The sequence below is a fragment of the Homo sapiens genome, chromosome 2 (genome assembly GCF_000001405.40).
Source record: "Homo sapiens chromosome 2, GRCh38.p14 Primary Assembly".
NCBI classification, from domain to species: domain Eukaryota; kingdom Metazoa; phylum Chordata; class Mammalia; order Primates; family Hominidae; genus Homo; species Homo sapiens.
This window is the reverse complement of record NC_000002.12, coordinates 32,288,867-32,303,615: the sequence shown is the minus strand read 5'-3', so window position 1 is coordinate 32,303,615 and position 14,749 is coordinate 32,288,867. Positions and strand designations below refer to the sequence as shown.

General features: G+C 42.1%; 1 protein-coding gene across 3 annotated transcripts in view, besides 2 other annotated features; it reads right to left on the bottom strand.

Moving 5' to 3' along the window:
* Positions 1-14,749, bottom strand: part of YIPF4 (Yip1 domain family member 4) — a 38,691-nt gene that overhangs the window by 12,979 nt on the left and 10,963 nt on the right. For 2 of the 3 annotated variants that reach the window (NM_032312.4, XM_005264599.4), the window contains exons 2-5: positions 12,980-13,133; positions 11,268-11,439; positions 5,305-5,382; positions 2,121-2,234 (exon numbers count right to left, since the gene is read on the bottom strand). In NM_032312.4, the coding sequence (NP_115688.1) occupies positions 2,121-2,234; positions 5,305-5,382; positions 11,268-11,439; positions 12,980-13,133 (518 nt within the window). The remainder of the gene's footprint in view (positions 1-2,120; positions 2,235-5,304; positions 5,383-11,267; positions 11,440-12,979; positions 13,134-14,749) is intronic. The other variant, XM_024453173.2, reaches the window with a different exon arrangement.
* Positions 7,281-7,474: a silencer, noted in NCBI's record as "fragment chr2:32521211-32521404 (GRCh37/hg19 assembly coordinates)". NCBI's record gives its function as "represses an EF-1alpha promoter that drives an FKBP-Casp9 reporter gene in an ReSE screen in K562 erythroleukemia cells {active_cell/tissue: K562}" and the evidence as "EXISTENCE:reporter gene assay evidence [ECO:0000049][PMID:32094911]".
* Positions 9,991-10,663: an enhancer, noted in NCBI's record as "NANOG-H3K27ac-H3K4me1 hESC enhancer chr2:32518022-32518694 (GRCh37/hg19 assembly coordinates)". NCBI's record gives its function as "activates a minimal SCP1, AML or CMV promoter by ChIP-STARR-seq in naive and primed H9 embryonic stem cells {active_cell/tissue: H9 hESC(naive and primed)}" and the evidence as "EXISTENCE:reporter gene assay evidence [ECO:0000049][PMID:30033119]".

The following is a 14,749-nucleotide window of genomic DNA, read 5'->3' as shown; positions in this document are numbered from 1 at the left end:
CTCTTGGGCTCAGGCGATCCTCCCATCTCAGCCTCCTGAGTAGCTAGGACTAACAGGTGCATGCCACCATGCCCGGCTAATTTTTGTATTTTTGGAGAAATGGTTGAGTCTCGAACTGGGCTCAACTGATCCACCTGCCTCGGCCTGCCAAACTGCTGGGATTTACAACAGTAAGCCACCATACCTGGCCTATTTTATAATATTTGTAATAACAACAGCTTGAGTGCCTACTCTGTGCCAAGCACTGTACTAGGCAGAGACAGGGTCTCACTCTGTCACCTAGGCTGGAGTGCAGTGGTGCAATCATGGCTCACTACAGCCACGGCCTCATGGGCCCAAGCAATCCTCCCACCTCAGCCTCCCAAGGAACTGGGACCACAGGTACCCGCCACCACACCTGGCTAAATTTTGTAGAGATGGAGTTTCGCCACGTTGCCCAGGCTGATTGATTTCAAACTCCTGAGCTCAAGTAATCCATTCGCCTCAGCCTCCCAAAGTGCTGGGATTATAGGCGGTAGCCACCATGCCTGATCAGCATTATATATAAACTCTTTGTAACGAACCCTAAAATATAGTTAAGTTTACCATTGTTAAGAACAAATTGAGGGTAAGAAAAGTTAAGATACCTCGGAAGACCAGACAGCAAGTAAGTGGCAGAACCAGGGTTTGAATTTAGAACTGATTAGTTCCAAAAACCACACATTTTCGATTCCCAATGCTTATTATCAGTATCAGCGTATAGTTTCCAAATTCTAAAAGGAATCATTATTTCTTTTATATTGAAATTAGTAATAATTTCAAGTGGCTCAGCTACTTAAAAACAAATACTTTCATGTGGAAGCTACATAACAGCAGTTCTGAAAGTCACAGTCTTTAAAAGTTCTGTTCTCCATAAAGAACAAACTTATATTCACTGTGTAATATACATATATGTGTCAAAGCAGTCATTTATTTCCCAAAGTTGTTCGACATTAATAAATTCCAATGTTTAAGTTACACTACTATTTATTAATACTTTTATCAGTAAATATTTAAATATATGTATATATGTTGATTTAACATAAATAACACAAAGAAGTCCTGATCTCTGCACTACGGAAAATCCAATTTATTAGAACCACATCTATCATATTTGATAGGAAAGTTACTATTCAAACAGGAGTAGCAGTTACTAAATAAATGTCCAGTGGAATTTTAAATAAATATCCCCCTCAAAATCTGTCAGATGAACTCATATTATAAATACAGAAAATAAATTTTAAATCCAACATTTAAAAAATGCTGACCAGCCGGGAGCAGTGGCTCACGCTTGTAATCCCAGCACTTTGGGAGGCTGAGGCGGGTGGATCACAAGGTCAGGAGTTCGAGACCAGCCTGGACAATACGGTGAAACCCTGTCTCTACTAAAAACACAAAAATTAGCTAGGTGTGGTGGTGCGCACCTGTAGTCCCAGCTACATGAGAGGCTGAAGCAGAAGAATGGCTTGAACCCAGGAGGCAGAGGTTACAGTGAGCTGAGATCACGCCACTGCACTCCAGCCTGGGCGACAGAGCAAGACTCTGTCTCAAAAAAAAAAAAAAAGAAAGAAAGAAAAAGAAAAATGCTGACCAGGCCGGGTGTGGTGGCTCATGCCTGTAATCCCAGCACTTTGGGAGGCCAAGGCAGGCAGATCACCTGAGGTCAGGAGTTCAAGACCAGTCTGGCCAACATGGTGAAACCCCATCTCTACTAAAAACAAAAAATTAGCCAGGCATGGTGGCACACACATGTAGTCCCAGCTACTAGGAAGGCTGAGGCAGGAGAATCACATGAACCTGGGAGGCACTCCAGCCTTGGTGACAGATCGAGACTCCAGAAAACAAAACAAAAATCTGACTATAATATCCTGAAACCTGATTTGCTCTTTGTTTTTTCCCCCAGACAAACAGTAATATCTGGTGATTAAAAAGGAAAAAAAATGAAAGAAATATAACTGGCAAAATCAGTAAGGAAGGTCACTTCCAAAATACTACCAACTGTTTGATAAAGAGTTTTATATCACAATATTCCTAGCTAGAGGCCTAGTATACTTTTGACATTGGAAAACAGTAAACTATGTAATACATAATCCTTAACTTACTTTTATAAGTGTAGACACCACTTCAAATGATCCAACCACCAAAAGTACAGGGGCTATTACAATGAGAGGAAGTAATGAATATCCTATAACTCCAAGGACTTGGCCATATGCAACCTGTGAATTTTGAAAATTTCAAATAAATATCATTGAAATCAAGATACTCATTTTAATCAAAATTGAACACCATATATTCCTTGCTGTATTCAAATAAATGTGAGCATTAAGAAGAAATCATAAACTATTATACTCATTATTTCAAAATATCATATAGTCTCCCATGTTCCTGGGCAGTCTCACCAACCAACATGGTTTCAATTAAAATAAATTTGCTGATAATACCCAAATCTATATTTCCAGCATTTACCTCTCTCTTGAGTTTCATACTACCTTCAGTATATCTCTACATTACATTTTGTCACTACTTCCCCTAAATTGTAGAATTATTTAAAGGGACTACAACCATCCCATTCAGATGAAAAATCCAAGGTCTAGAGAACCTAGATGTTACCAATGCCGACCAGAAGGAAAGGGAAGGTAGCCAGGAGAGACTGAAGAGAAAAATATTTTTTAGTGACTACTTTATGCCAAGTTCTGTGATAGGGCTTCACATGCTGTGGAGAGTAAATGAAATAACAATCCTATGAAATATAGGCATTATTGTCCCTATTGTGAAGAAATCGATTCTTAGAGAGAAACACTGCTTTGCTCCGGAAAGCAAAGCTAGTAAGGTGTCAGTGTTCAAATTAAAATGTAGGCCCCTAAACTCCTACATCAACATTCCTGAATTACCAAAACACGTAATGATACATATTTTCATATAAATATTATACTAGGTTTTGTCTAGGACATAAGAAATAATATATAAACAAATATACTTTAAGTGTCTATTAGAATTATTTTAAATTTCCATATGCAGAGTAAAAAGGTTTCACAGATGTTACTCTAAATTTATTCAAGAGTTTTATTAAGATGCTCGATTGAACATATATTCTAATATCATTCACTTCTGAAACTGAAAATAGAAGGGATAAAAGAAACTCTTTTTTTTTTTTTTTTTTTTTAAAGACGGAGTCCTCCTCTGTCGCCCACACTGGAGTGCAGTGGCGCGATCTCGGCTCACCGCAACCTCCGCCTCCCGGGTTCAAGAGATTCTTCTGCCTCGGCCTCCTGAGTAGCTGGGACTACAGGCGCGTGCCTCCATGCCCGGCTAATTTTTTTATCTTTTTTTTGAGACGGAGTTTCGCTCTTGTTGCCCAGGCTAAAGTGCAATGTTGCGATCATGGCTCACCACAACCTCCGCCTCCCGGGTTCAAGAGATTCTCCTGCCTCAGCTTCCCGAGTAGCTGGGATTGCAGGCATGTGCCACCACATCCAGCTAATTTTGCATTTTTAGTAGGGATGGGGTTTCTCCATGTTGGACAGGCTGGTCTCAAACTCCCAACCTCAGGTGATCCACCCGCCCCGGCCTCCCAAAGTGCTGGGATGACAGGCGTGAGCTACCGCGCCCAGCAATTTTTGTATTTTTAGTAGAGACGGGGTTTCACCACACTGGCCAGGCTAAAACAAAAAACAAAAAAACTACTCCTGGGCTCAAGTGATCCTCCTGCCTCAGCCTCCCAAGTAGCTGGGACTACAGGCATGCGCCAGCACACCCAGCTCAAAACTCCTTATTTATTTAATTTATTTAAGACAAGATTTCACCGTCGGCCAGGCTACAGTGCAGTGGCACGAACACAGCTCACCACAGCCATAACCCCTCAGGCTCAGGCAAGTCTCCTGCCTCAGTCCCTAGTAGCTGGGACCACAGGCACACACCACTATGCCTGGATAATTTTTAAAGAGATAGGGTCTCCCTACGTTGCCCAGGCTGGTATTGGAACTCCTGGGCGCAAGTGATCCTCCTGCGTCAGCCCCCCAAAGTGCTGGGACTACAGGTATGAGCCACGGCGCCCAGCCCCCTTGAGTTCTGGTGTGATATCAGAGAATATTCACCATCATCTGAAAAGGTTATTAAAATACTCTCCCTTTTCAATTATATACCTGTATAAAGCCTTATTTTCTTCAGATACTTTAGCCAAAACAATATATCTTAACAGATTGAATGGAAAAAGCATGTATTAGAATCCAATTTCCATTCAGCCAGATATTAAAGCTACTTACAAAAATGTAAAATAATGCTACTCTTCTAACTCTTTTGTTTTGGAAAATATGGTTATTTTTCTTTAAATGTATTGTTTATGTTAAAATGTAGTTGGTTTATTGTTACAAATCTCTTTGGCAACCTGAGATCAAAGTTTGAGAATTTCTGTAAGAATAAATTCTGGCTGGGCACAGTGGTTCACACCGGTAATCCTAGCACTTTGCGAGGCTGAGGCAGATCACTTGAGATCGGGAGTTTGAGACCAGCTTGACCAACATGGTGAAACTCCATCTCTACTAAAAATACAAAAATTAGTTGGGCAGGGTGGCAGGTGCTTGTAATCCTAGCTACTCGGGAGGCTAAGGCAGGAGAATCGCTTGAACCCAGGAGGTGGAGGTAGCAGTGAGCCGAGATTGTGCCACTGTACTCCAGCCTGGGTGACAGAGCGAGACTCCATCTCAAAAAAAAATAATAATAATAAATAAATAAATAAATTTTGTCTGGGCGCAGTAGCTCACTCCTGTAATCCCAGCACTTTGGGAGGCTAAACAGGCAGATCGCTTGAGGTTGGGAGTTCAAGACCAGCCTGGCCAACATGGTGAAACCCTGTCTCTACTAAAAATTCAAAAATTAGCCGGGCATAGTGGCACATATCTATAATCCCAGCTACTCGGAAGGCTGAGGCAGGACAATCGGGAACCTGGGAGGCGGAGGCTGCAATGAGCCGAGATTGCCCCACTGCACTGCAGCAGGATGACAAAGCAAGATTCCATTTCAAATAAATAAATAAAAAATAAATAAATTATATGCTTCCCTAAAAGGCTGCAATTACTTCATAAATGGGACGGGATATTTTCTTTTTCCTCATTTCTTGTACTATTTATTGAGTAAGCACAATACTAATATGTTGATCATCTTAAAGGAACTAGCATAAAGCAATTCTGGGACAAGAAAGTTTCTTGTATAGCTAATGATGATATCTGCAGTATCAAAAACTAAGCTCACCATAAATAAGGAAGATTATTTTCAAAATAAACTACTTACTTCTCCACCAAGAACTCTGGCCAGTAAGAAAATTGTTAGTGAACCAAATATCCAAATGGTTATAATCCATGAGACCACCTTAGGGGGAAAAATCATGCAATTAATATTTTTATACCAAATAAGATGATAATTTTCCAGGAACTCGATTCTCTGCCATAAATGACAGTTTAGCATGCCCAATTTCAGGTCATAGAGAGATTATGTGGGCTCTCAGGTATTACTCCAAAACTTAATAAGAATACAATGTGTAATACAATTTTACATCCAAATTAAAATCTTAGCAATTATCAATTGCCTAAAGAAACCTCAGTATTTCAAAATCTATGATAAAAGATTATTGCAAAAAAAAAGTGTTTACTATCAACCCCCTGTCTTACAGCATCCCAGAAGAAAAATTTATTTCTGAAGCAAGTTACCAATCTTCTCTGGAAGTCTTTAAAATTTAGATTACATATTTATTCAAGTAATGGAATATGGAAGCCATTTCAGACAATTTTAAACTCCTCAAACTTGGTGTAACAATACATACATATATTTGTATTTTGAAGCTGTCTGCTGGAATGGTCTAGAAATAATACCCCAGTAGCAACATAAGCACATTTATCACCCAGATACTGGTTTCTTTTATTATTTATTATTTTATTTATGTATTTATTTAATAGAGACGAGGTCTTGCTATGTTATTTGGTCATGTACTTATTTATTTAATAGAGACCAGGTCTCACTATGTTGCCCAGGCTGGTCTCGAACTCCTGAGCTCAAGTGATCCTCCTACCTCAGCCTCCCAAAGTGCTGGGATTACAGGAGTGAGCCACCATGACCAACCCCAGAAACTGGTTTCTAAGTATCATTTCCTAATTAAAGGAAGTAGGACTTCTTAAAGAAATGGTTGGCCAGGCACAGTGGCTCACGCCTGTCATTCCAGCACTTTGGGAGGCTGAGGCAGGCAGATAACCTGAGGTCGGGAGTTCAAGACCAGCCTGACCAACATGGAGAAACCCTGTAAAAAAAAATACAAAATTAGCCGGGCATGGTGGCACATGCCTGTAATCCCAGCTATTCCGGAGGCTGAGGCTGGAGAATCGCTTGAACCTGGGAGGCAGAGGTTGCGGTGAGCCAAGATTGCGCCATTGCACTCCAGCCTGAGCGACAAGAGTGAAACACCATTTCAAGAAAAAAAAAAACAAAAAAACGGTTGATTCCAAGGCTGGGGCAGGCAAAATACAAGATTAGCCCAGAACACTGTGTGAAGTAAGAAGGAAAGGAAGTACTCAAAAAAAGAATGGGATATGTTGAAACGAGACAGAATGCAAGCTGAAGGAGCTCCCAATGGTTAAAGCTTGAAAAATCTGAGCGATGAAATAAATTATGACAGTACTGGATTATAACTCAAATAAAATGATTGAGGGAAACAGAAAAATCATCATTCTGTAAACATTATAGTAATAATTACTGCATGCAAGATCTACCAATGGATGCTAAAATTAGTAGGCTAAAGTTAGATGAGAAACAGGATATTTGCATAGTTGCAAAGTACCTCCATAAGCTATTTATTAATTACAAAGAGAAAAATAGTAACTTTATACTGGAGAAATTGAACAGATACTACCCTATCACCTAACCAAGTGATCAAGGTTAACATCACCAGTTATAAGACGTATCAGTATCACATACTCCCTGTTAGTATACAGAGAGCAGGACAATGTCACTTCTGTGATATTCTTGCCAAAAATGCATAATCCAAATCAAATCATGAGAAAACATCAAGGAAATCCAAAATGAGTGACGTTCTATGATGGTATAGTAATCTTCTGGGGTTTTTTTTCCTTTTTTTTTTTTTTGAGACTGAGTCTTGCTCTGTCACCCAGGCTGGAGTGCAGTGGCGTGATCTCGGCTCAATGCAATCTCCACCTCCCGGGTTCAAGCAATTCTCTGCCTCAGCCTCCTGAGTAGCTGGGATTACAGGCACCTGCTACCACGCTCAGCTAATTTTTGTATTTTTAGGAGAGATGGGGTTTCACCATGTTGGCCAGGCTGGTCTTGAACTCCTGACCTCATCATGATCCACCCGCCTCGGTCTGTAGGCATGAGCCACTGCGCCCAGCCGTAATCTTCTGTTTTTAACCTTAGAACCCTTTGTTCAAATGAAAGATTATACAAAACAGATACAATTAGAGATGTTCTAGATGAAGAACCAGTGGTAGGTAGGAGACCAGAGTCCCCATTCACCTTCTTCAGTGGTCTTTGCAACACTTTAACATAACATCTGATATAAACTACTAATCTAGTGTAAATATTAATAGGACTAGTATAGTAATGCATCAAGTATCTTGTGATGGAGAGATTATTCTGGATTACCTTGCTGGGCCCTAAATGTAGTAACAATTGTCCTTAAAAGATGAAAACTGAGGCTGGGCACAGTGGTTCACACCTGTAATCCCAGCACTTTGGGAGGCCAAGGTAGGTGGATCACCTGAGATCAGGAGTTTGAGACCAGCCTGACTAACATGGTGAAACCCCCTCTCTACTAAAAATACAAAATTAGCTGGGGGTGGTGGGGCATGTCTGTAATCCCAGCTATGTAGGAGGCTGAGGCAGAAGAATCACTTGAACCCGGGAGGCAGAAAGTGCAGTGAGCTGAGATCGTGCCATTGCACTCTAGCCTGGGCAGCAAGAGTGAAACTCCGTCTAAAAAAAAAGATGGAAACTGAAGGAGATTTAAGTACATTAGAGGGGAAGGTAATGTGATCATGGAAACAGAGATCATAGTGACGCAGCCAGAAGCCAAGGAATGCTGGCAGCCTCTGGAAGTGAAAGAAACAAGCAACAGATTCTGCCCTGGAGCTTCCACAGGAACCAGCCCTGTAGACATTTTGATCTTAGTCCTTTAAGACTCATTTTGGACTCCTGACATCCAGAACCGTAAAATAATAAATCTGTATTATTTAAAACCACTAAGCTTGTAGCAGTTTATTAGAGCAGCCACCAGAAACTCATTCATTTCCAAATCCCTGTGGTAAACAGTAACTTTTTACTCCTTCAAAGCCTTAAATTTGGCATGAGAGAGTGATGTATATATGTTGTGTTTTGGTGATAAAGTATCTGAAAGTAGGACAAAGGGATTAAAATACCAGTAGTAATATAAAAACAAATACTGATGGAATCCTTCTCATCATTCTTTTAAAGTAACGGTCATTTTAAGAACAGAATTATGAGTCAATAAAAGGTAAGAAATATGGCCCTCCCCCTCCCCCTCCCCCTCTCCCTCTGATGCCGAGCCGAAGCTGGACTGTACTGCTGCCATCTCGGCTCACTGCAACCTCCCTGCCTGATTCTCCTGCCTCAGCCTGCCGAGTGCCTGCCATTGCAGGCGCACGCCGCCACGCCTGACTGGTTTTTGTATTTTTTTGGTGGAGACGGGGTTTCGCTGTGTTGGCCGGGCTGGTCTCCAGCTCCTAACCACGAGTGATCCGCCAGCCTCGGCCTCCGGAGGTGCCGGGATTGCAGACGGTGTCTGGTTCACTCAGTGCTCAATGGTGCCCAGGCTGGAGTGCAGTGGCGTGATCTCGGCTCGCTACAACCTCCACCTCCCAGCCGCCTGCCTTGGCCTCCCAAAGTGCCGAGAATGCAGCCTCTGCCCGGCCGCCACCCCGTCTGGGAAGTGAGGAGCGTCTCTGCCTGGCCGCCCATCGTCTGGGATGTGAGGAGCCCCTCTGCCTGGCTGCCCAGTCTGGAAAGTGAGGAGCGTCTCTGCCCGGCCGCCATCCCATCTAGGAAGTGAGGAGCCCCTCTTCCCGGCCGCCATCCCATCTAGGAAGCGAGGAGCGTCTCTGCCCGGCCGCCCATCGTCTGAGATGTGGGGAGCGCCTTTGCCCCGCCGCCCCGTCTGGGATGTGAGGAGCGCCTCTGCTCGGCCGCGACCACGTCTGGGAGGTGAGGAGCATCTCTGCCCAGCCGCCCTGTCTGAGAAGTGAGGAGCCCGTCCGCCCGGCAGCCGCCCCGTCTGAGAAGTGAGGAGCCCCTCCACCCGGCAGCCGCCCCGTCTGAGAAGTGAGGAGCCCCTCCGCCCAGCAGCCACCCCGTCTGGGAAGTGAGGAGTGTCTCTGCCTGGCAGCCACCCCGTCCGGGAGGGAGGTGGGGGTCAGCCCCTGCCAGGCCAGCCGACCCGTCTGGGAGGGAAGTGGGGGGGTCAGCGTCCCGCCTGGCCAGCCACCCTGTCCGGGAGGTGAGGGGCGCCTCTGCCCAGCCGCCCCTACTGGGAAGTGAGGAGCCCCTCTGCCCGGCCAGCCGCCCTGTCCGGGAGGGAGGTGGGGGGATCAGCCCCCTGCCCAGCCAGCCGCCCCGTCCGGGAGGGAGGTTGGGGGGGTCAGCCCCCCGCCCGGCCAGCCGCCCCGTCCGGGAGGGAGGTGGGGGGGGTCAGCCCCCCGCCCGGCCAGCCGCCCCGTCCGGGAGGGAGGTGGGGGGGTCAGCCCCCCGCCTGGCCAGCCGCCCCGTCCGGGAGGTGAGGGGCGCCTCTGCCCAGCCGCCCCTACTGGGAAGTGAGGAGCCCCTCTGCCCGGCCAGCCGCCCCGTCCGGGAGGTTGGGGGGTCAGCCCCCCGCCCGGCCAGCCGCCCCTTCCGGGAGGTGAGGGGTGCCTCTGCCCGGCCTCCCCTACTGGGAAGTGAGGAGCCCCTCTGCCTGGCCACCACCCCGTCTGGGAGGTGTACCCAACAGCTCATTGAGAACGGGCCACGATGACAATGGCGGTTTTGTGGAACAGAAAGGGGGGAAAGGTGGGGAAAAGATTGAGAAATCGGATGGTTGCCGTGTCTGTGTGGAAAGAAGTAGACATGGGAGACACTTCATTTTGTTCTGTACTAAGAAAAATTCTTCTGCCTTGGGATCCTGTTGATCTGGGACCTTACCCCCAAACCTGTGCTCTCTGAAACATGTGCTGTGTCCACTCAGGGTTAAATGGGTTAAGGGCGGTGCAAGATGTGCTTTGTTAAACAGATGCTTGAAGGCAGCATGCTCGTTAAGAGTCATCACCACTCCCTAATCTCAAGTACCCAGGGACACAAACACTGCAGAAGGCCGCAGGGTCCTCTGCCTAGGAAAACCAGAGACCTTTGTTCACTTGTTTCTTTGTTCACTTGTTTATCTGCTGACCTTCCCTCCACTATTGTCCTATGACCCTGCCAAATCCCCCTCTGCGAGAAACACCCAAGAATGATCAATAAAAATAAATAAATAAATAAATAAAAATAAAAAAATAAAAATAAAAATAAAAATAATCAAAAAAAAGGTAAGAAATATGAATATGAGTATTACATTTCAAACTGTTCATCTCTTGGGAAAATCAGAAGGTGCACCTTCTAGTGACTTCTGGTCAGCTGGAAGTGGTTCTATTCATTTACCCCAGTGTGCCATACAAATACTAATATTTTCTTTTTTTTTTTTTTTTTTTTTGAGATGGAGTCTCACTCTGTCGCCAGGCTGGAGTGCAGTGGCGTGATCTTGGCTCACTGCAACCTCGGCCTCCCGGGTTCAAGTGATTCTCCTGCCTCAGCTTCCCGAGTAGCTGGGATTACAGGCGTGCACCACCACACCCAGATACTTTTTTTGTAGTTTTAGTAGAGACAGGGCTTCCACCATGTTGGCCAGGATGGTCTCAATCTCCTGACCCCGTGATCCACCCACCTCGGCCTCCCAAAGTGCTGGGATTACAGGCGTGAGCCACCACACCCGCCCACAAATACTAATACTTTCTATGTGAATCATGATGTGGAAAAGTTTGAAAGCATTAATCTAAGGTACTCCTCACTTATTTAATTATGGAACGGTTTTAGGGATGAACAAGTGAGAAATAATGGGTAAAGCATTTCTCAAACATAATATGGTATATTACAGTTAATATCTTATTATATTTAATTTTTGAAACTCTCAAAATATTTAGAATTTGTATAAAATAAGATATACTTACCCTAAACTGTCCATATAATGATATCATGGAAAAGAAAAGAACAACAGCCAGAGGACCCCAAAAGTCAGGATTGTCTCTCACCACTTGTCTATTAAAACCAAGTGATGGCATTGGCATCAAAACACATCGGATTTTGTAGTAAATATCCTTTAGATCAATGTCCAATTCTTCCCTATAATTTTAAAATAAAAATTCTCAAAAGGCACACATTTCTGAATACTAAAACAATTCCAAAAAAAAATTAAGAAAACTTTAAATAAGACAGTTATAATCTCCATAGGTCAACAAAACATTTGCATTTGAAGTGCCACATTTCACTAATTCCAAGCTGTACATTTTTAACATTCCAATATCTCTAAATGTGGGACATATCTCTATCACTGGAGTCTTACAATCGTCAGCCTGGAGTGACGCCAAGTGTTTCTAATATTTACCTTTCCTTTTGCCAGTCTCCTGGAAGCCCTATCAATTTAAGAAAACTTTAAGTAAAATTTTCTGCTTGTGACTTTTTGGGCCTAATTCAGATTGCAAACCCATATGAGAACCAGTGTAGGTTTTATATTCTCTGGGGAAATTCTTTCTTTCAACATCTTATCCACTGTCAAACTGAAGCAAACTTCCTTGCTGTCTTTGTGTTGTGGGTTATTTCTCATTCATCCTTACACTAATAAGGAGATAGCCCTTTGATGTCCCAGCTTTATGCCGTCTTACGCACTTTTCTGTTTAATTAATATGTAAAATAACTTCATCTTATAATCAATAGTGTCTTAGATTTGATGGTATACGGTTTGTTTCTTTGTTTTTGAGACAAGAGTCTTGCTTTTTCACCCAGGCTGGAGTGCGGTGGGGCAATTTCGGCTCACTGCAACCTCCGTCTCCTGGGTTCAAGCGATTCTCATGCCTCAGCCACCCGAGCAGCTGGGACTACAGGCCCCTGACACCACGCCCGGCTAATTTTTTCTTTTTTTGTATTTTTAGTAGAGATGGGGTTTCGCCATGTTGGCCAGGCTCATCTTGAACTTCTAATCTCAAGTGATTCGCCCACCTCGGCCTCCCAAAGTGCCGGGATTACTGGCGTGGGCCACTATGCCTGGCCGATATATGGTGTATTAACATGAAGAAACACAGGATGTTTCAGCACTTACTCTACTGATAATTAATACAAAGAAGAATCTGGAAATGCCTCAATTTTACAAAGCTATAGGTTCTTCTTTTCAAAATTATTTATTTCTTTACTTTTTTCTCCAGATAACCACAAAATTTCAAGTACTATAAAGAAAGTGAAAGCCTCTTTATATGTAGCTCTCCTCCCAGTGGCAGCTCTAGAATTTCTATGTTGAAGAGATTTTGGAGTGGTAATCTTCTTGGAAATCTTAATTTGTCCGAACCTTAATTTCAACAGCTAGTACCTAAGAGCCCTGCTTTTTTAAATTGCATGATTACTTCAGATAGCTGACAGACCCAGGTAAGCTGGAGTAGACACACATGTGTGTGAGATACAGGATTACCATTCTTTTAATTTTTGTCTTTTAATTGGTTAAAAAATATTCTCTCATTATTATTTCAGTTTTTTAAATTACTAGTAAAATTGACAATCACTATAGCTTTTGACCAAAAAAGGTTAATGCTTTCTCTCTAAATAACAAGAAGAATATAATCATCCCACAGACTAGCTCAAAAAACAAAAAATATATATTATTATTTTTACATACAAGAGTGGCTTGTTATCTTCAGGATCATCATCTTCAACTTCCAGAAGCCAGCCATAACCTCTTTGTCTCAGAAATGTAGTAGCTGTAGATTCTTTGATAAAATCTCCACCAAGATTTAATTTGACATCTGGGGATGCTATTGAACCACTGAGATCTTAGGAGAAAAGAGGATAAAACTATATAAACTAAGGCACAACATGTGAATCTTAACCAAAGTGAGCAGATATTCAACTAAAATAATTATCATTTGAAGATCTCTAAGAACATCTGCTATTGCATATAATCTTCAAATTTTATAGTTGACAGACATCTAAAAACCATCATTTATTTTATAAGAATAAAATGAAAGATGAAAGAAGTGAAAAAACGTACAAAAGGTTTCACAGCTAATTAGCCAGACTGGTACCAGAATCTAGACTTAACAACAGTAATTCCTTAAAATTTCCATGGAAAATATATGCAAAATACATTACATGACATCATTTTGGATTCCTTCATTCTTACACATATCATGTGCCTCAGAACAAAGTAACTGAATAAATTCTTTTCAGAGGCATTACATATGTATATATACAAACTATTAGACAATTTATTTACTAAAGGAAATTCGTAGATAATTTTTCTCTACCTTTTCATGTATTTATTTATTCATATATTCTTTCATTTAAATCATCACATATCTATGCTAAGTGTTTCATATATTAATGCTTAATTCTTGATAAGTCTGATGAGTAAGAGTCCCCTGTTATTTCAGCCAAAACTTCCCTTTTCTTCACATAATTACATCATTCATCTTCAGTTTTGGCAAAAATAAATAAAGGCTATGTTTTCTTTTTGTTTTTATTTTTTAGGTCGGCTCTAACAAGAGGTGAAGAGATTCAGTTATCCACATTAAAAAATAAATTCCATGTAGAGTCTGCACAGTATCTCAGGGGTTACAGATAATCATGGTAGTACTAATGCCATCTTTGCTAGTTAAAAAATGGAAATAGTTAAGGATTTGCCTGAGGTCACATAGGGATTAAAAAGAAAAAGCACATTTGTAGGACCAGATAATATACATTAATAAACAACCATCAATACTGTCAGTGCAAGTCACATGATTATAGTATTATTTCAGAAAAATACTTTTGGAAACACCAAACCAGAACACTCTAACACAGATAGATACCTCTCTGGAGATCATGTCCAACCAATACCAAAGTTAGCTTCCTTAAAAAACAAAAAACCATTTTTCATATACAGTACAAAGAGCTTAATTTGCACAATACTCTATGAGTCACATCCTGGTCGGCTTATGACAACTCCTGCAATTAAGTTTGACAAATGTTTACATTCTGAAGCTAAGTCCCAGCTTAGCTACTAACTGATACAGCAAATCATTCATGTTTTCCGGGCCCTAGTTTCCTATTCAAAGTTCTTTCCAGGTTAAACATTATATAATTCTAAAAAGTTTTTATAAAGGCGCTCACTCAGAGATAAAATATAACCAGATTTGAATTCACCACTTAAAGTTCAAAAATAATCCCTGTACATGTTATCATATAATTGCATAGTGAAAATACTCTCTTATAAGTGCTTGCTACTTCTTTGTCTAAGTTGAAATGAGAGAGGTGGAATTTAAAAGTCTATTTCTAATAGATACAAAGAGTGTTATTTCTTCTTTTTTTTGTATCAGAGCCTCACTCTGTTGTCAGGCTGGAGTGCAGTGGTGTCATCTCGGCTCACCGCAACCTCTGTCTCCTAGGTTCAAGCCATTCTCCTGCCCCA